The sequence below is a fragment of the Homo sapiens genome, chromosome 7 (genome assembly GCF_000001405.40).
Source record: "Homo sapiens chromosome 7, GRCh38.p14 Primary Assembly".
NCBI lineage: Eukaryota > Metazoa > Chordata > Mammalia > Primates > Hominidae > Homo > Homo sapiens.
This window is the reverse complement of record NC_000007.14, coordinates 942222-964827: the sequence shown is the minus strand read 5'-3', so window position 1 is coordinate 964827 and position 22606 is coordinate 942222. Positions and strand designations below refer to the sequence as shown.

The window sequence follows — 22606 nt, the reverse complement described above, 5'->3', positions numbered from 1 at the left end:
CCCCTTGGGCATGAGGTAAACCGGAGGTAGCGTGGTCGCAGGCCTGGCCCGGTGTGGCTTCCCAGGAGGGGAGGTCTGACCTGGAGGCCCAGAGCCCCCCAGGGTCGGGTCTGCAGCCCCAGGGCTGATGCGTGGGGCCTCGTTTGCACAGGCCGTGTAGCCGGAGCTCAGCACTGGACCTGTTCCACCCAGGCCTCAGGAGCAAGGCAAACTGACTTCCTGAAGCTTCCTGTATCGGTTCCTCTGGCCACAGTAACAGATTACTGCAAGCCCAGCGGCTTAGAGCACCGCAAGCATTACTATTCCAGAGCAGAGTCCAAAAGGGGCCCAGGCCAGACACGATGGCCCACACCTGTCATCCCGGCAGTTTGGGAGGCCAAGGTGGGAGGATCGCCTGAGGCCAGGAGTTTGAGACCAGCCCTGGCAACGTAGTGAAACCCTGTCTCTACAAAAAAAAAAAAAAAATTGTTTTTAACTTACCCTGGTGTGGTGGCATGCACCTGTAGTCCCAGCTACTCAGGAGGCTGAGGCAGGAGGATCGCCTGAGCCTGGGAAATAGAGGCTGCAGTGCACAATGATGGCACCACTGCACTTAAGCCTGGGAGACAGAGCAAGACCCTGTCTCAAATTACAAACAGCCCAACAGGGCTGTGTCCTCTCGGCAGGCTCTGGGGGGAACCGTTTCCCGCCTCGGCAGGCTCTGGGGGGGAACCGTTTCCCGCCTCGGCAGGCTCTTGGGGGGAACCGTTTCCCGCCTCGGCAGGCTCTGGGGGGGAACCGTTTCCCGCCTCGGCAGGCTCTGGGGGGAACCGTTTCCCGCCTCAGCGGGCTCTGGGGGGAACCGTTTCCTGCCTTCTCTGGAGTCGAGGCACCTCAGTCAGGGCTGGGACTTGGTCCAACCTCCAGCCAGCAGTGCAGCCCCTTCCGATCCCTCCGACCCCTGCCCCTGTGCTCCTGTCTCTCCGGCTCTGACCTCCTGCCTCCCTCTCAGGACCCTTGGAACTGCACCGGGTCCTGCTAATCCTGGACCATCCCCATCTTGGTCCCAAACAACCCGATCTGCCATGTAAGCACCATGTTCACAGGTCCCAGGGGCCAGGATGCAGACATCTTCAGGGACATTTTTCTGTCCCCACACCTGGTTGTGAGGCGTGTGGGTGGCTCAGTCTTGGCCCGGGGCGGCAGCAGGTCCGTCTGGTCCCCTCGTGGCTCTGGACGGCTGTGCACCTCGACAGGTGTCCCCACTCAGAGGGGAGGCTGGGGGCTTACTCATCCACTCTGAAGAGCCAGGGGGTGGGGGTCATCCCTGAGGGCAGTGGGGTTGGTCTGCGGGGCCGCCTGCCAGACAGGGCCGGGCAGAGCGTGGTGCTTTGGGGCGGGGGATGGGAGCCCACCCCTCTTAGCCTGCAGGGGCTGCGTGACTTTGGAGGAAGCAGAAGCGCTGTGGTGGGGGTGGCCCCTGCTGGACGGCGGCAGCACCACAGCACCCTTGAGGGCCACCTGCAGAGGCAGAGCCAGGTGCGTAGCTGTCGGCTGCGGCGGGGACGGTGGCTTGTGCAGTTAGGCCCGTGCTCCAGGAGCCACAGGCTAGGGCCAGGGTCGTGTGTCCTGAAGCCCCAGGCCTTCCTGACTGGGCAGCCCCCTCCTACCACCTGCCCCCGCTGACACCTGCCTGCCACCACCCTCAGCCCCCCACTCACCCCCCACCACTCCTGCCAGCTCAGTTTTCAGGGGATTTGGAGACCCAGATGTGGCCCAGATCAGGGCAGCACAGGGCAGGTGCCTATGAAGTGTGGGGTTCAGTGAGGGGCTGCAGGGGCTGAGCCAGAGCCTGGGCGGGGCAGGGGTCTCCCCACTGGTGGGGGCTGCAATAGGGGCTGGGGGAGGATGGTCCAGGTAGGGGCCCTTTGGGCAGCAGAGCCACAGACCCTCCCTGGGGTCCCAGCTCTTCTCAAGGCAGACATGGGAAGGCACCAGCCCTCATGGGCGTCCACTGGGGTAGGGATCCTGCTTCACCGAGGCCTCTCTTTGAGAGGAGTGGTCTGGACGTGGGGCTGGCGGGGCTGGGATTCTCTGAGGCCACCAGTGCAGATACCAATCCCTGTGTCACAGACCACCCCAAACTCAGGGCCTCACACAGCATCTTCCGGCTCCCACGCCTGTGGCTCTGGGGCTAGCTGGGCTCAGCCGGGTGGTTCACACGCAGGTGTGACGAGGCTGGAGTCACTGAGCTCTGCCCTCCAGGGGAGGGTTCCAGCCCCTGGGCGGGCAGGGCTGGGCCCAGCACCTCTGTTCCTGGGCTCTGTCCGCGTGGCCTCTGCAGCGTGGAGGCTGCAGGGGAGCCCAGCTGTGTATGTGGAGGCGGGGCAGGGGCGAGGGGCAAGGCAGAAGCCGCATTCTCCTGTGACCCCATGTCAGAGGTTATAGGCCACTGTCCTGAACGGGCCGGGACGGTCACGGCCCCTTGCCCACATTGATCCTGCATGGGCCGGGACGGTCACGGCCCCTCGCCCACATTGATCCTGCACGGGCCGTGACGGTCACGGCCCCTCGCCCACATTGATCCTTCACGGGCCGGGACGGTCACAGCCCCTCGCCCACAGTGGTCCTGCACGGGCCGGGACGGTCGCGGCCCACATCGCAGGTGGGAGTGAGAGGAGTGTTACGTGTTAAACACACTGTGGGGAGGAGGGGTCAGGGAGGGGAGGGAACCGCTGGGAGAGGATAGGTGTGTAGATGGTGGATAGAGATGATGGCGGTGACGGATGATTCTCAGATGGCAGATAAACAGATGACAGAGGTAGAGGACAGGGAGACTGCTTGATGATGGATAAACAGAGATGACAGGTCATATAGACACAGATGACAGATCGCACAGATAGATGATGGACGGATGGACAGAGGGGGATGGTGAGGGTGGGGGGCACAGTCAGGGCCCCTTGGGAAAGGCAAGCCCCGTCTGAGATGGCCTCCGCCTTTCCTGACGCGCGTCCATGCCTCCCTCTCTGTGAGGCTCTGGGGCTTCTCCAGCCTGATTCTGCAGGGTGCTATCTCGTGCCTGCCTCTGGCACAGACAGGCCTGTGGCTCATTCCCGCAAAAGCCCCCATGAGATGGGTGACTCAGCCTCAGTCTCCCTGTCTGCTAAAGGCATATGGTATCAGCCCACCTGGGCACTGAGGGCTGGAGTGGACTCTGGTGTGGGCGGAGGATTGTGCCAAGGCAAGAGACTGAAGGCACAAACTGTTTCAGTATAATAAAGAAGATAGTTAGAATAAGAATAGTCATAATACAAATTAGACATACAGATGATCATGGACAATTATCAATCATGATTATAAACATTATTAATCATTAGCTTTTAATGTTACTCTTTGTCGTATTACTAACATAACCTAGGAATAACCGGCGGACATAGCGTCAGGTGCTGAAGGGACATTGTGAGAAGTGACCTAGAAGGCAAGAGGTGAGCCCTCTGTCACGCCCGCATAAGGGCCGCTTGAGGGCTCCTTGGTGAAGCGGTAACGCCAGTGTCTGGGAAGGCACCCTTTACTTAGCAGACTGCGGAAGGGAGTCTCCTTTCCTTGGAGGAGTCAGGGAACACTCTGCTCCACCAGCTTCTTGTGGAAGGCTGGATATTCTCCAGGCCTGCCCGCAGTCATCCGGAGGCCTAAACCCCTCCCTATGGTGCTTCAGTGGTCACACTCCTTGTCCGCTTTCACGTTCCTCCCGTACTCCTGGTTCCTCTTTGAAGTTCGTAGTAGATAGCGGTAGAAGAAATAGTGAAAGTCTTAAAGTCTTTGATCTTTCTTGTAAGTGCAGAGAAGAAAATACTGACATGTGCTGCCTTCTCTCTCTGCTTCAGCTACCTAAGAGGGAAGGGACCCCTGTCCTGTGATCACGTAACTTGCTTCACCTTGTCAATCACTTAGAATATTCGCTCTCCTTACCCTGCCCCCTTGTCTTGTATGCAGTAAATATCAGCGCGCCCAGCCGTTCGGGGCCACTACCGGTCTCCGCGTCTTGATGGTAGTGGTCCCCCGGGCCCAGCTGTTTTCTCTTCATCTCTTTGTTTTGTGTCTTTATTTATTACAATCTCTTCTTGTCTCTGCACACGGGGAAAACACCCGCTAAGCCCCGGAGGGCTGGACCCTACACTCTGGGGCAGAGTCGGCCTCATGGGCTCAGCCCATGCAGCCAAGCAGGAAGAGCTGCTGGATTCTTATTTAAACACGAGAGAAACGGCCTTCAGAACGAGAACTTGCATGCACAGGGCTCACGTGAACGGCACGTCCTGCGTGTGACCGCACCCGCCATCCGACCCTCTGTGCCTGGCTCCTGTCAGTTCCCACAGCACCCGCCATCCGACCCTCTGTGCCTGGCTCCTGTCAGTTCCCACAGCACCCGCCATCTGCTCCTCTGTGCCTGGCTCCTGTCACTTCGCACAGTGTGTTCAAGCTTCGCCTGTGTCGTGGTGTGTTCACGGCTGAGTCGCACTCTGTGGTGGGCACAGACCACTCTTGGCTTATCCACCCATCAGCTGGTGGACGTGTGGGCTGTCTGCATTTGGGACTGTTCTGAGTAACGCTGGCTGGGCATGACGGCTCACGCCTGTAATCCCAGCACTTTGAGAGGCTGAGGCAGGTGGATCACCTGAAGCCAGGAGCTCAAGATCTGCCTGGGCAACGTAGCAAGATACAAAAAACCCCACAAAACTTAGCTGGGCATGGTGGCGCACACCTGTATTCCCAGCTACTCGGGAGGCTCAGGAGGGAGAATTGGCTTGAGCCTAAGAAGTTGAGGCTTCACTGAGCTATGATTGCACCACTGTACTCCAGCCTGGGTGACAGAGCAAGACCCTATCTTGAAAAAATAAATAATAAGGCTGGGCGCTCATGCCTGTAATCCCAGCATTTGGGGAGGCCGAGGCAGGCGGATCACGAAGTCAGGAGTTTGAGACCAGCCTGATCAACATGGTGAAACCCTCGTCTCTGTTAAAAATACACAAATCAGCCAGGCGTGGTGGCTCACACCTGTGATCCCAGCTACTCAGGAGGCTGAGGCAGGAGAATTGCTGGAACCCGGGAGCGGAGGTTGCAGTGAGCCGAGATCATGCCACTGCACTCCAGCCTGGGTGACAGAGCGAGACTCTATCTCAAAAGAAAAAAAAAAAAAAGAGAAAAGGAAAGATGCTGCTGAGAACACTCGTGTCCAGGTGCGTGTGGACGTGTTTTCTGCCGTCCTCGGGCGCATACCGGGGAGTGGGTTTCCAGGGTCCCACGGTAGCTCCATGCCAGCCCGTTTTCCAGGGCGGCTGCACCGTCTTACACCCACCAGCGCTGTGGGAGGGGCCAGCTTCCCCCATCCTCACCGGCACTGTCTGTCTGTAAATCCTAGCCTCCCTCCACCGGCCCCCCGCCAGGTCTTCACTGCATCCTGGTGTGATTGGCATTTCCCTGACGACTAATGGTGCTGAATATTTCCGGTGCCTGTCGGCGGCTGTGTGTCTTCCTTGGGGACGCATGTGTTCAGATTCTTTGCCCTTTTTTTAATTGGTTCACTTGCCTTTTTATTACTGAGTTGTATGGGTTCTTTATAAGTAACTGTTTCTTGAGGCTGCACCAATTTGGGTGTGAACTTTGTAAACACTACTGCCCGATGGTCGCTGCGGAAAGGGGCCAGGGCTGGTGGGGGGAGAGCACCTCCCGGGGTCCCGCGTCGGGTCTGGGCCTCCTCCCCATGCCAAGTGCGTGATTCCGGCCCCCGAGGACCCTGCTGGTCCCAGGCCTCAAGAGATGGCACCTGGGGAGACCTGGGCCGTGACTGGAGTGGTCAGGCCAACGCCAGCTGCCCAGCGGGGGAGGAAAGGATGGGGGATGGCAGGACCCCTGCCCGGGCGCAGTGCCCAGCTCCATACCTGCCACCAGCCCGTCGGTTATGGGGATGGCTCTCCACGACCCCCTTCTCCACTCCAGACCCCATCTCTGTTTGGAAAACCAAGCAAAAGATATGTTCAAATGCCCCAAAACCCAGTAAGCCAACCTGTGCACCCACCTCCATGGCATGACATCTTGGGGAGGCCCCTGAGGACTCCCTGCTTCCAAAGGGGTTTCCGGGTCTAGCCCCACTCCCAGAAAATTGTGCTGAGACCACCTCTGGTCCTGGGTGGTTCCCCCTCCCCTGCATTTCGGGGCGCAGTGGCTATTTCTGGGGAATCCCCGTGTCTCCTTTAAGCCCCTCCTGAGCAGAGCTCTTTAGGATCCGTATGCTGCTGAACTCCTACTCCAGGTGCCCGAGGGGTGGCAGGGCCCTCACAGCAGTCAGAAGGCCCAGGAGGGTCTGCGCAGGGCCAAAGGCACGTCGCAGAGGACAGGGTGGAGGCCACAGCCAGTGGGCTTCCCTGGAGGGGGCCGGCCACATGGGGGCCCAACATCACGACCCCCATCCCCACAGCTGAGGCAGGTAGAGCCAGGAGCTGCCCACCCCTGCGCTGAGCCTGGATGTTGAAGACCCCTGCTTGGCCTGCAGGGCGGCCTACTGAGCTCACGGCCATCGTGCCAGACGCTGTCCAAGCGCAGATAATTTGACTGAATTAGCCCCGGCCCCTGTGCGGGGTGGAGAGGGAAGTGAACCTCCACAACCTCCCCTCCCCTGAGGCAGCTCCTGGTTGAGCAAGCTCGGCTGACTGTTGGGCAAGATGGTCGCAGAGCAGGGCCCAGCCCGGCCTCAGTCCATTTGCCCCTTCCCTGGGGAGAGCCCCCTTCTGCCTGTGCTGAGAGGCTCACCCCGCAGCTGCAGGCCTGGGAGGAGCCAGCTTCCAATCAAAGTCGCCTGCTGGCCTACCACGCGCAGGCCCCGTGCTCAGGCGACGCTGGAGGAGCTCGCCCTGCTCTCGGGAGCCCCCTGCCCAGGGTCTGCTGTGTGGCCGAGTGGTCACAGGAGGCGGCTGCCTCTGGCTCTGGACTAGGGAGATGCTTGAGGAATGAGTGTCAGGGTCCCTGGTGCAGCCGTGCGGGTCAGTGACAAGGGGCAGGAGGCTCAGCAGAGCTTGTAGGCCACTGGGCATGAGCAGGAGCAGGCACGCCGCCTGTCCAGGCCCCTCGCCAGCCGCTGCTGGCCGGAACAGCCTTTGACCAGCACTGGTCTGGGTCTGGCCCACCCTGAGCTATGCTGTTACCTTCCGGATTCTTCCTGAGTCCTGGGCTCCCCTACTGCCCCGCCCAGCCCTGACCACAGCCAGTCAGGGCAGCAGGATTTCAGGACGGCTGTGCTCTCGGGTCCAGGCAGGTACTTGCGGATCTCGGCCGAGCAGCCTCCTCTTTGGAAGAATCCCCCTCAGCCCCGACATCTCTTAGATCTGAGGGGTTCACCCACCTCTGTCTCATCCTCACGCCCTCCTGCCCCCCGAGCAATGCCACAGTTCCCTTAGCGGGATGGAAGGACAGAGAAGGCAAGACACTCGCCTGCTGGAGCTGCCCCACGGAGGAGGCCCCGGAACAGCAGGCAGTAGATGGCCTTGGCTTGTGCCAGAAGCTCTGGCCTGTTGGGCACCGGCTCCCCTGAGGCCTCCCTGCTGCCTTTTCTATGCCTTGTATGATGGCCTCCCCGTCTTTGGGGACCTTGGGTAACGGCTATGTTAGGGTGTGTTGCTTTGTTATATTGTTTTATGTATATTCCAGTCCTGAGGTGTGTGGCCTCCAGCAAGGGATCGAACCTCCCCGTGCCTCAGTCTTCCCAGCTGAAAATGGGGCTTTAATAAGAAAATACATGTCGGCCGGTCGCGGTGGCTCACGCCCATAATACCAGCACTTTGGGAGGCCTAGGCAGGCGGATCACGAGGTCAGGAGATCGAGAGCATCCTGGCTAACACGGTGAAACCCCGTCTCTACTAAAAATACAAAAAAATTAGCCGGGCGTGGTGGCATGCACCTGTGTCCCAGCTGCTGGGGAGGCTGAGGCAGGAGAATGGTGTGAACCCGGGAGGCGGAGCTTGCAGTGAGCCGAGATCGCACCACTGCACTCCAGCCTGGGTGACAGAGCAAGACTCTGTCTCAAAAAAAAAAAAAAGAAAAAAGAAAATACACGTCAAGCCAGGCGTGGTGGCTCAGGCCTGTAATCCCAGCACTTTCAGAGGCTAAGGCAGGCAGATCACGTGAAGTCAGGTGTTCGAGACCAGCCTGGGCAACATGGTGAAACCCTGTCTCTACCAAAAAATAAAAATATACCTGGGCATGGTGGCACCCATTTGTGGTCCCAGCTACTCAGGAGGCTGAGGCAGGAGAATCACCTGACCCCAGGAAGCAGAGGTTGCAGTGAGCTAAGATCGTGCCACTGCACTCCAGCCTGGGCGATAGACCAAAACCCTGTCTCAAAAAAAAAAAAAAAAAAAGGAAAAAAAGAAAAGAAAAGAAAAGAAAATAGAAAATACAAGTCAGGCTATTTCTCCTAATACCTAGTGCTGAGCTGCTGCTATTAATGTTCGTCTGTCTTTATTAGGCGACATTCTCCAAGCTCATGCTGTGTGGTGGATTCCGAGCCTGGCACAGGGACCCAGAGATGAAAATGCCACCTGTCCCCACCCCAAAGCCTCCCGTCTGAGGGAGGAGAAAGACCCATGTGAACGGTTACAGGGAAAGAGCACGTGATGCCACAGGGCACAGATCCCAGAGACACAGACCAAAACGGGCTGCCGCGTTCTGCTTCAGGTAGACAGAGCTTAAGCAGCTCCATGATTCCACGTCAGCTGGAGCAGGGGGACAGGTGCCTTTGGTGGCACTCTGGTCAGTGCAGCCTCAGTGGAGGCCATTCCACATCCCATACCATTGCCCCAGCGATGCCACTTTGAGAGCAAATCCACACAAAACTCTTGCAAAGATGAGGTTGTGTAGACCATGATTCTGATGCATTCAAAACGCTCTAAATGCCCCTATGCCAGTGACTGGGTGAACAAGTCATGGTTCAGTTGAACTTTTTTTGAGTTTGTTTGTTTGGTTTTTTTTTTTTTTTTTTTTTTTTGAAACGGAGTTTCACTCTTGTTGCCCAGGCTGGAGTGCAATGGCGCAATCTCGGCTCGCTGCAACCTCTGCCTGCCAGGTTCATGCGATTCTCCTGCCTCAGCCTCCCAAGTAGCTGGGATTGCAGGCATGCGCCACCACGCCTGGCTAATTTCTTTGTATTTAGTAGAGACGGGGTTTCACCATGTTGCCCAGGCTGGTCTCAAACTCCTGAGCTCAAGTGATCCACCCGCCAGGGTCTCCCAAAGTGCTGGGATTACAGCCGTTAGCCAAAACCCTGTCTCGATAAATGAATAAATAAATGAAAGGCTACAGGCCTCAGACGTTCGTTCTGGAAGGTGCTGAGGAATTTGTTAACAGTGGTTGCCTGGAAGGCAGTGGGGAGAGGCTTTCCTTTTTCAGTCTGGTATGTTCCAGTTTGTTTTCAGCCGGGTGTACTGCATTAACCCTGCAAGAAGAAAATGGAAAGAATTTGAAAAGATGCTGGGGTGTGCAGAGGAAGGGCACGCGAGTCTGGGAAGAGGTGACATCAAAACCAGGTTTTTTGTTACCTGTCAGCCCCCATGTGAAGTCCCGGCGGGGCCCCTCAGCCTGCCTGAGTGGGAGGGGTGCCCAGAGGGTCCCATCTGTGGGTGGTGGGCGGCTGGGTGGGTCTCAGGGGGAGGCTCCGTCTGGGCCCTGTGTGGCCTCAGTGCCCTGGGACGCTGGCGTTTGTCACCTGCTGGCCGTCCCTCCCAGGCAGGGATGGTGTGAGCGCCCTGGTCCTGGTCCGTAGCACAGGACACGCACACCTGCCTTCCACGAGCACCCCCATGCCCATGGTCTTGGGGGGCTCGGCAGGTGCCCTCTGCGCCCCCCACAGTAGGTGTGCAGGCTCCGTCCCACCGCGCGCGGCGGCACGAGGGTCCCACCCAGGCCGGCCAGGTTTTGGGGCGGCCTCGCGCCCAGGCAGGTGGGACGCTGCGCGCGGATGGGGGGCGGGCGGCGGGCGATTTCCCAGCGGGTCCCCGGGGCGCGCGGGCTGGGGGCGCCGGAGCGGCCGAGGGAGGAGGCCACACGCTCGCCTGCACCGCTGGGGGCCGCCCGCGGGCCTTGCCGGCCAGAGCGCAGCGTGCGCCCCGGGCCCCGCGCCGGCACTCGCTCAGCGACCGCGGCGGAGACACGAGCGGCGGCGGCGGAGCCCAGAGGGCGGCGGGAATGCGGAACCGGCGCGCGGGCTGAGGCCGCCCGGGATGGCGCAGGGGCGGCGGCGGCGGGCGGCCTGCGCGGGGCCCTAGCGAGCCGGGCTGACGCTCCCGGCCCCGGCCCCGGCATCGGCATCGCGGGCGCATCGCGGCCATGGCCAAGGAGCGGCGCAGGGCGGTCCTGGAGCTGCTGCAGCGGCCGGGGAACGCGCGCTGCGCGGACTGCGGCGCCCCGGGTAGGTGTGGGCCGGGTGGGCGCGGGGCCGGGTGGGTCCGGGGTGGGCGCGGGGTGCCGGGCGGGTCCTGGGTGGGCCCCGGGGACCGGGCGGGGGAGCGCGGACGCCGCGGGGGTGGCGGCGCTGAACACCGGGCCGGATCGGCGCTCGGATGGGGCCCGGGCCCGGCTGCACCTGCGGGGACCCGGACGTCTTCCCGGGCCGGGCGCAGCGGGGGGGCCCCCCCCAGGACCCCCGGAAACCCCCCTGCCGCCGCCTCCCCTCCCCCGCCGGGCTGCGTGTCTGACGGTCACCGCGGACCGCCCGCCGCGTTGCGAAAGCTCGGGCTCCGCACAGAAAGAGGAAATCGGGGCTGGCTGCAGGGAGGGAACGGGCCGCCAGCCGGAGGTCTCTGCTGGGCTGTGGGGTCCGCCGGCTCCGGGGCCACCTCGCGGTGACGTCATGCCTCACGCCCTTCCCGCACCGGGGGTCCCTGGGTGTGAGCGGCGCCCCTGCCCCCGGCTCCCTGCACCTGGCTGCTCCGGGGCGGGCGCCAGGACAGGTGAGGCCTGGGAGAGGTGGGGCCGGACGCAGGTCCTGGTCCACCCGCCGCCCGCCCGTTCGTTCTCCCGGCCGGGCATCCCTGACTCGGTTCCCAGGTCTGTGGGATTTCAAGGCACTGGAGTCCAAAGGCGCGGAGTCCCTCCCTTCCAGGCCACTGGTCCTGTCATTGGCTGTGAACGGGGCCCAGTGCCCAGACCAGCCCTGCCCTGCTCGGGAGCTGTCAGCCCCAGGCCGGCTGCGCTGTGGAGAGAGGGCCCCGCCGGAGCAGTCCCGCCACCCCAGGCACACCAGGAATCTGGGGGCCAATAGTCTAAGCCCCTCGGAACAAACCTAAACTCACCGGCGGTGACTGAGGCCCCCAGGGAGGGAGCGGGGGAAGACCTTGCATTTGCCTCCAAGGCCCTGGTTCAATATGCAGCCTCTGGACACCCCGGAAAAAGGGGTGTCCCTGATTCCCTCTGGGATGGAGGGGTCTCTGCCAGCCCCAGGTCGTGGTGGCTGCTGTCCAGCTGCAGCTTGGCTGGAAAGGCCACATCAGGAGCTGGGGTGTCCCAGAGGGGAGATAGCGACAGGCTTTTCTGGAAAGACAGGCAGGACCCACGGCCTTTCCATGGTCTCCTGAGACAGGACGGCCACAGGGCCCGTGCAATGGTGCGGTGGGGGTGGCCCCCTGGGCTGGCTCACCCCAGACTCTCTCCCCACAGACCTTTATTTCCTCCTGTTCAGGAACGCTCCCCAGGAAAGCCAGTGGGAAAGGGCCTGGCCTGGGGTTGCTGTGGCCCACGGGGAGGGGAGCTGGGCTTGCCTCTGAACCTCTGCTCCCTGGCCACACAGCCTGGGAGCAGCTTCTCTGGACTCAGGGCCCCTCTCCAGCCACCCTCTGGGCCTCCCAGCCTGGCAGGAGGAAGAGGGGACTTCCTTGGCCTGCTGGGTCCTTCAGTGGTCCTCCCCTCCCAGTGGGTGCAGGTGTGCCCGGCCCACCTGCTAAGCTTCCAGCCTGGCCCACCCCAGAGCTGTTCTCTGCCGTCCCTATGCCCCACGCTGCCGGGTAGAGGGCCGCACCTCTGCCTTTTCAGAATCTGTCCATGACCTCAGTGACTTGTCTCCTCTGTCGGGTAGCGCCATGGAGGGGGGATGCTGTGAGGGGTCACTCTCATTTCACAGCCAGGGAGACTGATGCCTTGCAAAGGGAGCTGTCTTAGGGGACATGAGCCACACCCGGCCGCTCTGCTTGTCCCCGCTCCCCAGGGCTGTGGCCACAGGGTGGAACAGGCGGTGTCAGGAGGCAGGGGGCTGCCTAGCCCCCCATGACCCCATGGCACATCCTCGAGGGCTCTATGCTTCTTTGCTGATGCCAGCTGCTCTGGGGCCTCCTGTACCTGCTGTGGCCCAGCTGGGTGACAAGGAGCCACTCCAGTGTTGATGGGGGCTGGGGTGGCCGGCACGTTCTGCTGTCCTCAGAACACTGTCCTGTGCACTGGCTCACGGCTGGTGCAGACCTGGACAGCAGGACATCAGACAGTCCCAGACCACCTCTGAACGCCAGGCCTGGGGCTGCTGGGGTGGACTTGAGCAGGCCCCACCCACTGGCCGTGTGAGGGAAGCAGTCTTGGGGTCTCTGCGGCCCCCACAGAAGCTCCTTCCAAACTCTCCCCATGACCTGTCCCAATAGTGGGTTCCCCTGACCTTGAACAGGGGGCCTCGCCCGGCGGCCACCCAGAGAGCCTCTCATCACAGGCCTGGCAGGTGGGCGAGTTGGGGCGTGCCTGGACCCACTGTCCTGCAAGACCTGGGTGGGGGTCTCCATCCTGGGAGGGGGTTTGGGGGAGGGAGGGGTGCCTCCGTACATCCTTGGAGCTGCCTGCCAAATCGCAACAGAGGACAGGGACCGGGCGCGGTGGCTCACGCCTGTCATCCCAGTGCTTTGGGAGGCCGAGGCCGGAGGATCGCTTGAGGCCAGGAGTTGGAAGCTGCAGTGAGTCGTGATCACACTCCAGCCTAGGCCAGAGTGAGACCCTGTCTCAAAAAAAAGAAAAACACACATATTGTCCTCTTTGAGTCTCAGGCCATCTGATGCCCCGGAAGGACTGGGGTGTCTGAGCTCTTTTGTTCTTTTTTATTTTAAGGTCTCGCTCTGTCACCCAGGCTGGAGTGCAGTGGCACAATCTCAACTCACTGCAGCCTCTGCCTCCAGGGCTCAAGCAATCCTCCCACCTCAGCCTCCTGAGTAGCTGGGACTACAGGTCCATGCCACCATGCCCAGCTAATTTTTTTTTTTAAGACAGTCTCTCGATGTCACCCAGGCTACAGTGCAGTGGCACGATCTTTGCTCACTGCAACCTCCAACTCCCAGTTTCAGGAATTTGGCCGGCATGGGTGAGGGTGGGAAGAAGGCTGCTGAGTGTGGGCGGGGGCTGGGCAGACTCCCTTCACTCCCCAGGGCAGCGGCCCAACTAGGTTGGATATTTTTTTTTTTTTTTGAGACGGAGTCTCGCTCTGTCGCCCAGGCTGGACTGCAGTGGTGCGATCTCGGCTCACTGCAAGCTCCCCCTCCCAGGTTCACACCATTCTCCTGCCTCAGCCTCCCGAGTAGCTGGGACTACAGGCACCCGCCACCACGCCCGGCTAATTTTTGTATTTTTAGTAGAGATGGGGTTTCACCATGTTAGCCAGGATGGTCTCCGTCTCCTGACCTCGTGATCCACCCGCCTCGGCCTCCCAAAGTGCTGGGATTCCAGGCATGAGCCACCGCGCCTGGCCGGATTTTTTAAAAATAATAATTTACCTTCTCATCGTTTCGAGTGCACAGTTCCAGGGCCTTGAGCACGTTCACTCACCGTGCCACCGCCACCACCATCATCTCCAGAACCTCCTCATCTTCCCAAACTGAAGCTCTGTCCCCATTCAACAAGGGCTCCAGATTTCCTCTCCCCAGTCCGGGGCACCCACCCTTCTACTTTCTGTTCTTTTCTTGTTTTTTTTTTTTTTTTTTTTTTGAGACGGAGTCTTGCTCTGTTCCCAAGGCTGGAATGCAGTGGCGCCATTTCAGCTCACTGCAACCTCTGCCTCCTGGGTTCAAACGATTCTCCTGCCTCAGTCCCCTGAGTAGCTGGGATTACAGGCGCCTGCCACCACGCCCGGCTAATTTTTGTATTTTTGGTAGAGACAGGGTTTCGCCATGTTGGCCAGGCTGGTCTTGAACTCCTGACCTCAGGTCATCCTCCCAACTTGGCCTCCCAAATGGCTGGGATTACAGGCATGAGCCACCGTGCCTGGCCTCAACTTTCTGTCTCTATGAATCTTATGACTCCAGGGACCTTGTAGAAGTGAAACCATGCGGTATTCATTTTTTTTTTTTTTTTTTTTTGAGGCAGAGTCTCATTCTGTCGCCCAGGCTGGAGTGCAGTGGCACCTTCTCAGCTCACTGCAAGCTCCGCCTCCCAGGCTCATGCCATTCTCCTGCCTCAGCCTCCCGAGTAGCTGGGACTACAGGTGCACGCTGCCATGCCCGGCTAAGTTTTCTGTATTTTTAGTAGAGATGGGGTTTCACCACGTTAGCCAGGACGGTCTCGATCTCCTGACCTTGTGATCCGCCTGCCTCGGCCTCCCGAAGTGCTGGGATTACAGGTGTGAGCCACCATGCCCGGCTGGTATTCATTCTTTTGTGACTGGCCAGTTTCACTCAGTCTAACGTCTCCAGGTTCACAGATGCTGTGGCGAGTGCTGGGATTTCCCTGCATGTGAAGACAGGATCATACCCTGTGTGGATGAACCACATTGCGTGTGCCCGTTTGTCTGCAGGCGGACACTGGGCTGCTCCCACCTCTGGGCCATTGTGAATCGTGCTGTGTGAGCACGAGGGTGCAGATGTCTCTCTGAGACCCTGCTTCAGGTTGTTTGGGTCTGTACCCAGGACTGGAGTTGCTGGGTCCCATGGCGATTCTGTGCTTACCTGGTTGAAGAACTGCTAGACAGGTTTCCCCTACCTGGTTTTGCACTCAAGCCACAGGCCAGCAGGTCACACGTGCCCGCTTCCTGCCTGCCTGCCCTGTGGCCGGGTGTGGAGGGCTGGTGTGGGCGATGAGCTGGCACTCAGGGCTGGGAGGAGCTGGAGGCCTTTCCCTCTGTCCTGCGCCTGGTGCCCAGGCCCTGGCCAGGCTCCCCCCAACTTCAGCCTAGACTGGGCCCCCTCTCCAAATGCACCGGAGCTGTGGTGTGGGCCAAGGTTACTGCTTTGTGGACTCCTTGGGCCGCTGCACCGGCCGTGACCGCAGCCAGCTTCCCCGACGCACAGATGCTGTGAGCTAGACCTCAGCTCTGGACATATCTCAGGTTAGGTGTGGCACTGCCCCTGCCCCCAGGCCCTGTGCTCCTAGGCCACTGCCGTTTTAGACTCAGAGGCATTTGCCAAGCCTTGCTCTGTGGCAGTACCTGGCAGCCAGCCGCATCCCCCAACTGCTTCTCCCGTCACCCGTCAGGTGGCTGCATGGCCCCATTTTGCAAATGAAAGAATGAGGAAACAGGAAGGGACTTGGTGGGGTCCAAGGTGGCTGAGGCGGCACGTGGCCGTGTGGCCAGGAGGTATGTGCTCATGTGCCCGGGGGAGGCAGAGGCCCACAAGGGCTGAACTCCAGTGGTGCCCTACCCTGGACTCCGGCGGGCAAGGCGCCTTCCCCCGCTCCGTACACATGTACTGAGTGCCTTGCCCTGTGCAGTCACTGGGGCTCAGGGAGACCGGACCAGACCAGCCCTTCACTCTCAGCATCTGCTGTTCCTTGGTGGGGAGACAAAGACAGACAGATGGTGATGGCACTTGGGGACAAGGAGGGCCGAGGGTAGAGTAAGAATTGTGAGTGAGGGCCGGGCATGGTGGCTCACGCCTGTAATCCCAGCACTTTGGGAGGCTGAGGCGGGAGGATCACGAGGTCAGGAGATCAGGACCATCCTGGCCAACATGGTGAAACCCCATCTCTACTAAAAATACAAAAATTAGTTGGGTGTGGTGGCGCACGCCTGAAATCCCAGCTACTCGGGAGGTTGAGGTGGGAGAATCGCTCGAACCTGGTAGGCAGAGGTTGCAGAGAGCCGAGATCATGCCACTGCACTCCAGCCTGGGCGACAGAGTGATATTCTGTCTCAAGGGAAAAAAAAGGACATAGAATCTTGGATGCCCCGTAAACGCGTTTTCAGGAAGGAGTACTGGGCACCTATGGGCTGGGAGGTGGGTCAGGGAGGAGCAAACTGACCCCAAGTCACTGTCCAGGTGGTGGTGGTGACAGCTTAGCAGGTGAATGAGAGGCCAGAGGGGGTCGTGGCACCTGGAGATGCATTTGGAGAAGTTCTGCTAAGACCGGGGCAGAGACCTGCAGTGGGAGCTCGGCCTGGCATGCAGGGGAAGGCTTTGGAAGTGACTGTTTTCCTCATGGAGGACGAGGCCAGGCCATGGGCCGGCGGGGAGGGAAGCCGAAACTCGGGCCACCATGGAGCGCTTCTGCAGGGCGTGTTCCATTCAGAAGCTCAGGCCTCGGTGGGTACAGAGGTGGGCTCCGTACTGAATGATGGAGGGAGGGGTGAGGGGCAGAGGGCATTGCACTGATGGACCTGGGATCCCACCCGGGCAAGGGGGCAGGGCAGACATGGGGTGAGGAGGGAGGGACAGACATGGCTGGGTCAGGTCCTGCAGATTCAGGATGGGGGCTGGGGCTCGGGGGTTGTGAGCGGGAAAGGCCCAGCTGGAATAGAGTGGGTTCAGGGCAGGCCGTGGGGTGGCCAAGGTGTGGGGTGAGGAGCAGGTCCCTGGCAGTGCTGGGTCCTCAGTGGAGGAGGGAGACGGCCCCTCCGGAAGAGGGAGTGGGGTAAAGGGGCTGGTGGTGTCGGGGGTGGGGGCAGCCGTGCACCTCGCAGGTCAAAGGAGAAGTGAGGAGGCCAGTGTGCCCAGAGCCAGGGCGGGGAGACGGGGTCAGAGGTGGCTGTGGGGCCACGCAGGGCTGGGGGACGCTGTGAGGGCTGCGCTGTGACTCTGGGTGGGATGGGAACCATGGGAATTCTGTGAGCCGAGGAGTGTCCCAGCCCACGACGCGTCACAGGGTCCAGGGCAGGTAGGGCCAGCGCGGGAGCGGGAGGTGGGTGGGACGCTGCTGCAGTGACCGAGGCCGGGTGGCGGTGGCTAGGCCTAGGGCGGGGCGTGAGTGTGGGGAGGGTCAAAGCCTGGATCGTCTTGAAATATTTGCTGGTCAACGGGATGTCGGGGTGTGGTGGGCAGAGTAGAAATGAGGACACCCAGGCCTTTAGCCAGCACCTCACTCGCTGAGATGGGGACGTGGGAGCAGTGTCCAGGGAGACGGGAGGGACCTGCGATGTGAGGCTCTGTGAGAAGCCACGGTGGCCGCCAAGGGGACAGCAGCCACACGGGCAGCTCTGGAGGAAAGAGGCCCGAGCTAGAGACAGGGGTTGCCAGTGTGTGAATGTCTCTCTCTCTCCTTTTTTAAAAAATCAAGGTCAGGCGCGGTGGCTCACACCTGTGATCCCAGCACTTTGGGAGGCTGAGGTGGGAGGATCGCTTGAGCCCAGGAGTTCAAGGTCAGCCTGGCCAACATGGTGAGACCCCCATCTCTAAAAAAAAAAAAAAAAAAAAAAAACCAAAAAATCAGCCAGATGTGGTGGTGCACACCTGTGGTCCCAGCTACTCAGGAAGCTGAGGTGGGAGGATTACCTGAGCCCAGGAGGCCGAGGCTGCAGTGAACCATGATCGCACCACTGCACTCCAGCCTGAGTGACAGAGACCCTCTCTCAAAAAAACAAAAAATGAAAAAAAACAAAACCCCAAATCGAGGTGCAATTCATATGAAAAATTAACCTTTTATAGAAAATTTTTTCATAAGGATGGAGTCGCGGTGTCTCACTATGTTGCCCAGGCTGGTCTCGAACTCCTGGGCTCCACCCGTTCACCTTGGCCTCTCCAGGTGCTGAGATTGCAGGCGTGAGCCGCCCCGCCCGGCCTCAGGTTAATCATTTCAAAGTGAAAATTCAGTGGCATTTAGAACGTTCTCCATGCTGTTCAACCACCACCTCTATCGAGTTCCAAAAATAGGGTTTGACAGCCGAGAGACCAGATGGGCCGCAGAGGAGTCGGCCCTGTGCGAGGGCCCTGAAGAGCCTGGAGGGGCGCGGGGTGGGGGCCCCAGAGAGTGGGCTCCGGGACAGGGTGGGTCCAGGGAGGACTGGGGATGGCCTTCACCGTGGGGTTCCCGCCATGGGGCTGGAGCACCAGGAGGGAGAGAGGGTGGGAGGGCAGGGGCAGGGCAGAGCCTGGGGGGGTCCTTGGGGGATTCTGAAAATGGACTGTGTCCGGGTGCTGCTGGGAGGGATCCAGGAGAGGGGCACGTGTCCCTGAACCGGGTAGGGGCCAGCGGATCTGGGTCCTGGGAGGGCCTGTTCCTAGGGCCAAAGGGCCCCATCCTCACAATGGAATGGGACCAGGGCCGCCCGTGAGCGTGAGGGGGTGGGGGCCTGGGGCCTGGGCAGAGAGGAGGTGTGGGCTGCCAGCCCACCCAGGAGCTCCAGAGGTCACTGCCTCGCTGGCGGGGATCCACCGGCCGGCGGGAGCCTGGATCCCTGCAGGGGCCACGGGTAACTGGGAGACAATATGCGGAAAACACGGAGGTGGAGTTGGAGAGGGGCCTGGGTCCCGGCGTGGAGTGGGGCGCTGTGTGCCTGGGGGACAGCCATGCATGCCCCGCCTCACGTAGCTGTGAAGGGTGGTGGGCACCGGAGCCCCTCCCACAAGGGCACCCTCCCACCTCGGCTGCCCCTTGCGTGCCTGGCCAGAGCCAGCGTCCGACCCGGCCTCGATTGCACCGGGATCTCTGCTGTGCGTCAGCCTTGGGAGGGCAAAGGTCTCTGGAACCAGGGCCCCATGGACAGGCTTGGCTACTGCCCTTCCCCCTGCCCGTGCCCCAGCCTGGGCCTTGGCTTGGGGGACACGCCTGCCCCACCTGGCTCCGCCCAAGAATGTGGCTCACCTGCCCAGGTGCCCCAGACCAGCTCCGGAAATGGTGAGCGGCTGAGTCACCTCGGGCGTCCTGGGAGCAGGTAGGGCAGAGCGGGGCTGGGAGGAGGGAGGGAAAGAGGCTGGCGGCTGTGGGCAGTCTCCGAGGAGGAGGCAGCTCCTGGAGACGGTGCTGGCAGCCTGGATGTTTGTGGGGGCTGGAGTCTTGGGCCTGCCCCTCCCTACCTGGCACTCAGGGCCTCCATCTCCACCACCACATCAGCCATGCCGCAGCCACCCTTGGGCCCAGTGTGTACCTGCTGGCCTTGTGGCCTGTTCTGGGGGCACCACAGGCCGTGGGTGCTGACTCCAGGCATTTTGGAACAAAATTCCACAGTCCTGGGAACCCAGAAGTGGTCCTGGGCAGAAGCAGGGCCGGCCCCACGGTTCAGTGCCCCGAGTGGAGGGGGCAGCTGGAGTGCAGCCCAGGCTTAGGGAGAGGCTCTCCTGCGTGGGCCTGTGGGGGCCCTGCTGCTGGGGCGTCAGACCAGCTCCCCTTCCACCCTGGAGGGTCTCTGAGAGTGCGTGCCCCGCCCCTTTTCGCTCCGATGGGCTGCGGGCATTTGCGGATGCAGGCAGGCCTGGCCATGCCCAGCAGCCTGAGAAGGAGGCCTGCCCAGCCCAGCCTCAGTCACTTGGAAAACAGAAGGGTCAGCCCGTCCCTTCTGCCTTGGGGACCAGCCAGGCTTTTTCCTTACTGGAAGCTGGGGGACTCTAGCTCCCCATCTCCTTGCACACACACACACCTGCACACACACACGTGAGCCCACCCTGCAGAGCTTCAGCATACTCAAATCAGAAGGCCACCTTCTATTTCAGTGCCTTCAAGGGCTTCCGAGGTCACTCTCCCAGAGACCAGAGGCCTTAAGACATCGCCCAGAGTCACCCAGAGTCACCCCCCCGGGCTCTTCCCTCCCAGGGTCTGAATCTTTCTTTAAAACAGAGTCTCAGGGTGGGTAGAGTGGGGATGGTTAATGGGTACAAAGAATAGAATAAGATCTAGTATTTGATATCACAACAGGGTGACGATTGTCAACAATAATTTATTGTACTTTTAAAAATGACTAAAAGAGTGTAATTGGATTGTTTGTAACACAAAGAAATGATACACGCTTGAGGTGATGGGTGCCGTGTTTGCCGTGATGTGATTATTTCACATTGCATGCCTGTAGCAAAATGTCTTGTGGACCCCATAAATATATACACCTCTTATGTACCCACAAAAATTAAAGATTAAAAATTGTTAAAAATAGGCCGGGCTCGGTGGCTCAGGCCTATAATCCCAGAACTCTGGGAGGCCGAGGTGGGCGGATCACCTGAGGTCAGGAGTTTGAGACCAGCCTGGCCAACATGGTGAACCCCGTCTCTATTAAAAATACAAAAATTAGCCAGGCATGGTGGCGGGCGCCTGTAATCCCAGCTACTTGGGAGGCTGAGACAGGAGAATTGCTTGAACCCGAGAGGCAAAGGTTGCAGTGAGCCAAGATTGCACCACTGCACTCCAGCCTGGGTGATAGAGTGAGACTCTGTCTCAAAAAAAAAAAAAAAAAGGTTAAAAATATAAAGAAAAATAAATAAAACAGGGACTTGGTTAGGCGAAGTGGCTCATGCCTGTAATCCCAGCACTTTGGGAGGCTGAGGTGGAAGGACTGCTTGAGCCCAGAAGTTAGAGACCAGCCTGGGCAATATAGCAATACCTTGTTTCTACAAAAAGTTTTTTAAAGTAGCTGGGTATGGTGGTGCGCACCTGTAGTCCCAGCTACTCAGGAGGCTGAGGCGGGAGGATCACTTGAATCCAGGAGGTCGAGGCTGCAGTGAGCCATGATTGCCTCACTGCACTCAAGCCTGGGCAACAGAGCAAGACCCTGTCTCAATAATAATAATAATAGTAATAATTCTGATGAGGTCAATTTCTCTCTTTCTCCTCTTCTCTCTCTTCCTCCTCCTCTCTCCCTTCCTCCTCCTCCCTTCCTCCTCCTCTCTCCCTTCGTCCTCCTCTCTCCCTTCCTCCTCCTCCCTTCCTCCTCCTCTCTCCCTTCGTCCTCCTCTCTCCCTTCCTCCTCTCTCCCTTCCTCCTCTCTCCCTTCCTCCTCTCTCCCTTCCTCCTCGCTCCCTTCCTCCTCCTCTCTTCCTCCTCCTCATTCCCTTCCTCCTCACTCCCTTCCTCCTCCTCTCTCCCTTCCTCCTCCTCTCTCCCTTCCTCCTCCTCTCTCCCTTCCTCATCCTCTCTCCCTTCCTCCTCTCTCCCTTCCTCCTCCTCCCTTCCTCCTCCTCTCTCCCTTCGTCCTCCTCTCTCCCTTCCTCCTCTCTCCCTTCCTCCTCTCTCCCTTCCTCCTCTCTCCCTTCCTCCTCGCTCCCTTCCTCCTCCTCTCTTCCTCCTCCTCATTCCCTTCCTCCTCACTCCCTTCCTCCTCCTCTCTCCCTTCCTCATCCTCTCTCCCTTCCTCCTCTTCCTCCTCCTCCCTTCCTCCTCCTCTCTCCCTTCCTCCTCCTCTCTCCCTTCGTCCTCCTCTCTCCCTTCCTCCTCCTCTCTCCCTTCCTCCTCCTCTCCCTTCCTCCTCCTCTCTCCCTTCCTCCTCCTCTCTCTTCCTCCTCCTCACTCCCTTCCTCCTCCTCTCTCCCTTCCTCATCCTCTCTCCCTTCCTCCTCCTCTCTTCCTCCTACTCTCTCTTCCTCCTCCTCACTCCCTTCCTCCTCCTCTCTCCCTTCCTCATCCTCTCTCCCTTCCTCCTCTTCCTCCTCCTCCCTTCCTCCTCGTCTCTCCCTTCCTCCTCCTCCCTTCCTCCTCCTCTCTCCCTTCCTCCTCCTCTCTTCCTCCTACTCTCTCTTCCTCCTCCTCACTCCCTTCCTCCTCCTCTCTCTTCCTCCTCCTCACTCCCTTCCTCCTCCTCTCTCCCTTCCTCATCCTCTCTCCCTTCCTCCTCTTCCTCCTCCTCCCTTCCTCCTCCTCTCTCCCTTCGTCCTCCTCTCTCCCTTCCTCCTCCTCCCTTCCTCCTCCTCTCTCCCTTCCTCATCCTCTCTCCCTTCCTCCTCTTCCTCCTCCTCCCTTCCTCCTCCTCTCTCCCTTCCTCCTCCTCTCTCCCTTCGTCCTCCTCTCTCCCTTCCTCCTCCTCCCTTCCTCCTCCTCTCTCCCTTCCTCATCCTCTCTCCCTTCCTCCTCTTCCTCCTCCTCCCTTCCTCCTCCTCTCTCCCTTCCTCCTCCTCTCTCCCTTCCTCCTCCTCTCTCCCTTCCTCCTCCTCTCTTCCTCCTACTCTCTCTTCCTCCTCCTCACTCCCTTCCTCCTCCTCTCTCCCTTCCTCATCCTCTCTCCCTTCCTCCTCTTCCTCCTCCTCCCTTCCTCCTCCTCTCTCCCTTCCTCCTCCTCTCTCCCTTCCTCCTCCTCTCTCCCTTCCTCCTCCTCTCTCCCTTCCTCCTCCTCTCTCCCTTCCTCCTCCTCCTCTCTCTTCCTCTTCCTCTCTCCCTTCCTCCTCCTCTCTCCCTTCCTCCTCCTCTCTTCCTCCTCCTCCTCTCTCTTCCTCCTCCTCTCTCTCTCAGTGGATTCTGCCTTTGGTGTTGTATCTGAAAAAAATCTTTGCCTAACCCA

The 22606-nt window shown here is 60.0% G+C and overlaps 1 protein-coding gene and 1 long non-coding RNA gene across 4 annotated transcripts in view, besides 16 other annotated features; one reads left to right on the top strand and one right to left on the bottom strand.

The window, feature by feature from the left end:
- Positions 229 to 338: an enhancer, noted in NCBI's record as "active region_25482". NCBI's record gives its function as "activates an Ori minimal core promoter by ATAC-STARR-seq in GM12878 lymphoblastoid cells {active_cell/tissue: GM12878}" and the evidence as "EXISTENCE:reporter gene assay evidence [ECO:0000049][PMID:35858748]".
- Positions 1361 to 1948: an enhancer, noted in NCBI's record as "H3K27ac-H3K4me1 hESC enhancer chr7:1002516-1003103 (GRCh37/hg19 assembly coordinates)". NCBI's record gives its function as "activates a minimal SCP1, AML or CMV promoter by ChIP-STARR-seq in primed H9 embryonic stem cells {active_cell/tissue: H9 hESC(primed)}" and the evidence as "EXISTENCE:reporter gene assay evidence [ECO:0000049][PMID:30033119]".
- Positions 6541 to 6600: a silencer, noted in NCBI's record as "silent region_17832". NCBI's record gives its function as "represses an Ori minimal core promoter by ATAC-STARR-seq in GM12878 lymphoblastoid cells {active_cell/tissue: GM12878}" and the evidence as "EXISTENCE:reporter gene assay evidence [ECO:0000049][PMID:35858748]".
- Positions 9255 to 9864: an enhancer, noted in NCBI's record as "H3K27ac-H3K4me1 hESC enhancer chr7:994600-995209 (GRCh37/hg19 assembly coordinates)". NCBI's record gives its function as "activates a minimal SCP1, AML or CMV promoter by ChIP-STARR-seq in primed H9 embryonic stem cells {active_cell/tissue: H9 hESC(primed)}" and the evidence as "EXISTENCE:reporter gene assay evidence [ECO:0000049][PMID:30033119]".
- Positions 9255 to 9952: a biological region, named in NCBI's record as "H3K27ac-H3K4me1 hESC enhancer GRCh37_chr7:994600-995209".
- LOC124901569 (uncharacterized) lies at positions 9338 to 9974 on the bottom strand. Its single transcript, XR_007060178.1, has 2 exons — positions 9564 to 9974; positions 9338 to 9460 (listed from the first exon to the last, which is right to left on the bottom strand). It is a non-coding gene; the product is annotated as an uncharacterized LOC124901569 (long non-coding RNA).
- ADAP1 (ArfGAP with dual PH domains 1) overlaps positions 9421 to 22606 on the top strand; it is a 57508-nt gene continuing 44322 nt past the window's right edge. Inside the window, exon 1 of one of the 3 annotated variants that reach the window (NM_001284308.2) lies at positions 9421 to 9535. In NM_001284308.2, the coding sequence (NP_001271237.2) occupies positions 9421 to 9535 (115 nt within the window). Of the gene's footprint in view, positions 9536 to 10147; positions 10433 to 19011; positions 19067 to 22606 lie in introns of those variants that run through there. The other 2 variants (NM_006869.4, NM_001284309.2) reach the window with 2 other exon arrangements.
- Positions 9797 to 9952: a silencer, noted in NCBI's record as "fragment chr7:994512-994667 (GRCh37/hg19 assembly coordinates)". NCBI's record gives its function as "represses an EF-1alpha promoter that drives an FKBP-Casp9 reporter gene in an ReSE screen in HepG2 liver carcinoma cells {active_cell/tissue: HepG2}" and the evidence as "EXISTENCE:reporter gene assay evidence [ECO:0000049][PMID:32094911]".
- Positions 9842 to 9941: a silencer, noted in NCBI's record as "silent region_17831". NCBI's record gives its function as "represses an Ori minimal core promoter by ATAC-STARR-seq in GM12878 lymphoblastoid cells {active_cell/tissue: GM12878}" and the evidence as "EXISTENCE:reporter gene assay evidence [ECO:0000049][PMID:35858748]".
- Positions 9972 to 10461: a silencer, noted in NCBI's record as "silent region_17830". NCBI's record gives its function as "represses an Ori minimal core promoter by ATAC-STARR-seq in GM12878 lymphoblastoid cells {active_cell/tissue: GM12878}" and the evidence as "EXISTENCE:reporter gene assay evidence [ECO:0000049][PMID:35858748]".
- Positions 10752 to 10961: a silencer, noted in NCBI's record as "silent region_17829". NCBI's record gives its function as "represses an Ori minimal core promoter by ATAC-STARR-seq in GM12878 lymphoblastoid cells {active_cell/tissue: GM12878}" and the evidence as "EXISTENCE:reporter gene assay evidence [ECO:0000049][PMID:35858748]".
- Positions 11087 to 11698: an enhancer, noted in NCBI's record as "H3K4me1 hESC enhancer chr7:992766-993377 (GRCh37/hg19 assembly coordinates)". NCBI's record gives its function as "activates a minimal SCP1, AML or CMV promoter by ChIP-STARR-seq in primed H9 embryonic stem cells {active_cell/tissue: H9 hESC(primed)}" and the evidence as "EXISTENCE:reporter gene assay evidence [ECO:0000049][PMID:30033119]".
- Positions 14628 to 15272: an enhancer, noted in NCBI's record as "H3K27ac-H3K4me1 hESC enhancer chr7:989192-989836 (GRCh37/hg19 assembly coordinates)". NCBI's record gives its function as "activates a minimal SCP1, AML or CMV promoter by ChIP-STARR-seq in primed H9 embryonic stem cells {active_cell/tissue: H9 hESC(primed)}" and the evidence as "EXISTENCE:reporter gene assay evidence [ECO:0000049][PMID:30033119]".
- Positions 15273 to 15918: an enhancer, noted in NCBI's record as "H3K27ac-H3K4me1 hESC enhancer chr7:988546-989191 (GRCh37/hg19 assembly coordinates)". NCBI's record gives its function as "activates a minimal SCP1, AML or CMV promoter by ChIP-STARR-seq in primed H9 embryonic stem cells {active_cell/tissue: H9 hESC(primed)}" and the evidence as "EXISTENCE:reporter gene assay evidence [ECO:0000049][PMID:30033119]".
- Positions 18404 to 19603: an enhancer, noted in NCBI's record as "P300/CBP strongly-dependent group 1 enhancer chr7:984861-986060 (GRCh37/hg19 assembly coordinates)". NCBI's record gives its function as "activates an origin of replication core promoter dependent on BRD2, BRD4, P300/CBP, MED14 and CDK7 cofactors, with strong dependence on P300/CBP, by STARR-seq in HCT116 cells {active_cell/tissue: HCT116}" and the evidence as "EXISTENCE:reporter gene assay evidence [ECO:0000049][PMID:35650434]".
- Positions 18404 to 19927: a biological region, named in NCBI's record as "P300/CBP strongly-dependent group 1 enhancer GRCh37_chr7:984861-986060".
- Positions 18881 to 19175: an enhancer, noted in NCBI's record as "tiled region #8554; HepG2 Activating non-DNase unmatched - State 4:PromP". NCBI's record gives its function as "activates a minimal TATA promoter and a strong SV40 promoter by Sharpr-MPRA in HepG2 cells {active_cell/tissue: HepG2}" and the evidence as "EXISTENCE:reporter gene assay evidence [ECO:0000049][PMID:27701403]".
- Positions 19013 to 19927: an enhancer, noted in NCBI's record as "H3K27ac-H3K4me1 hESC enhancer chr7:984537-985451 (GRCh37/hg19 assembly coordinates)". NCBI's record gives its function as "activates a minimal SCP1, AML or CMV promoter by ChIP-STARR-seq in primed H9 embryonic stem cells {active_cell/tissue: H9 hESC(primed)}" and the evidence as "EXISTENCE:reporter gene assay evidence [ECO:0000049][PMID:30033119]".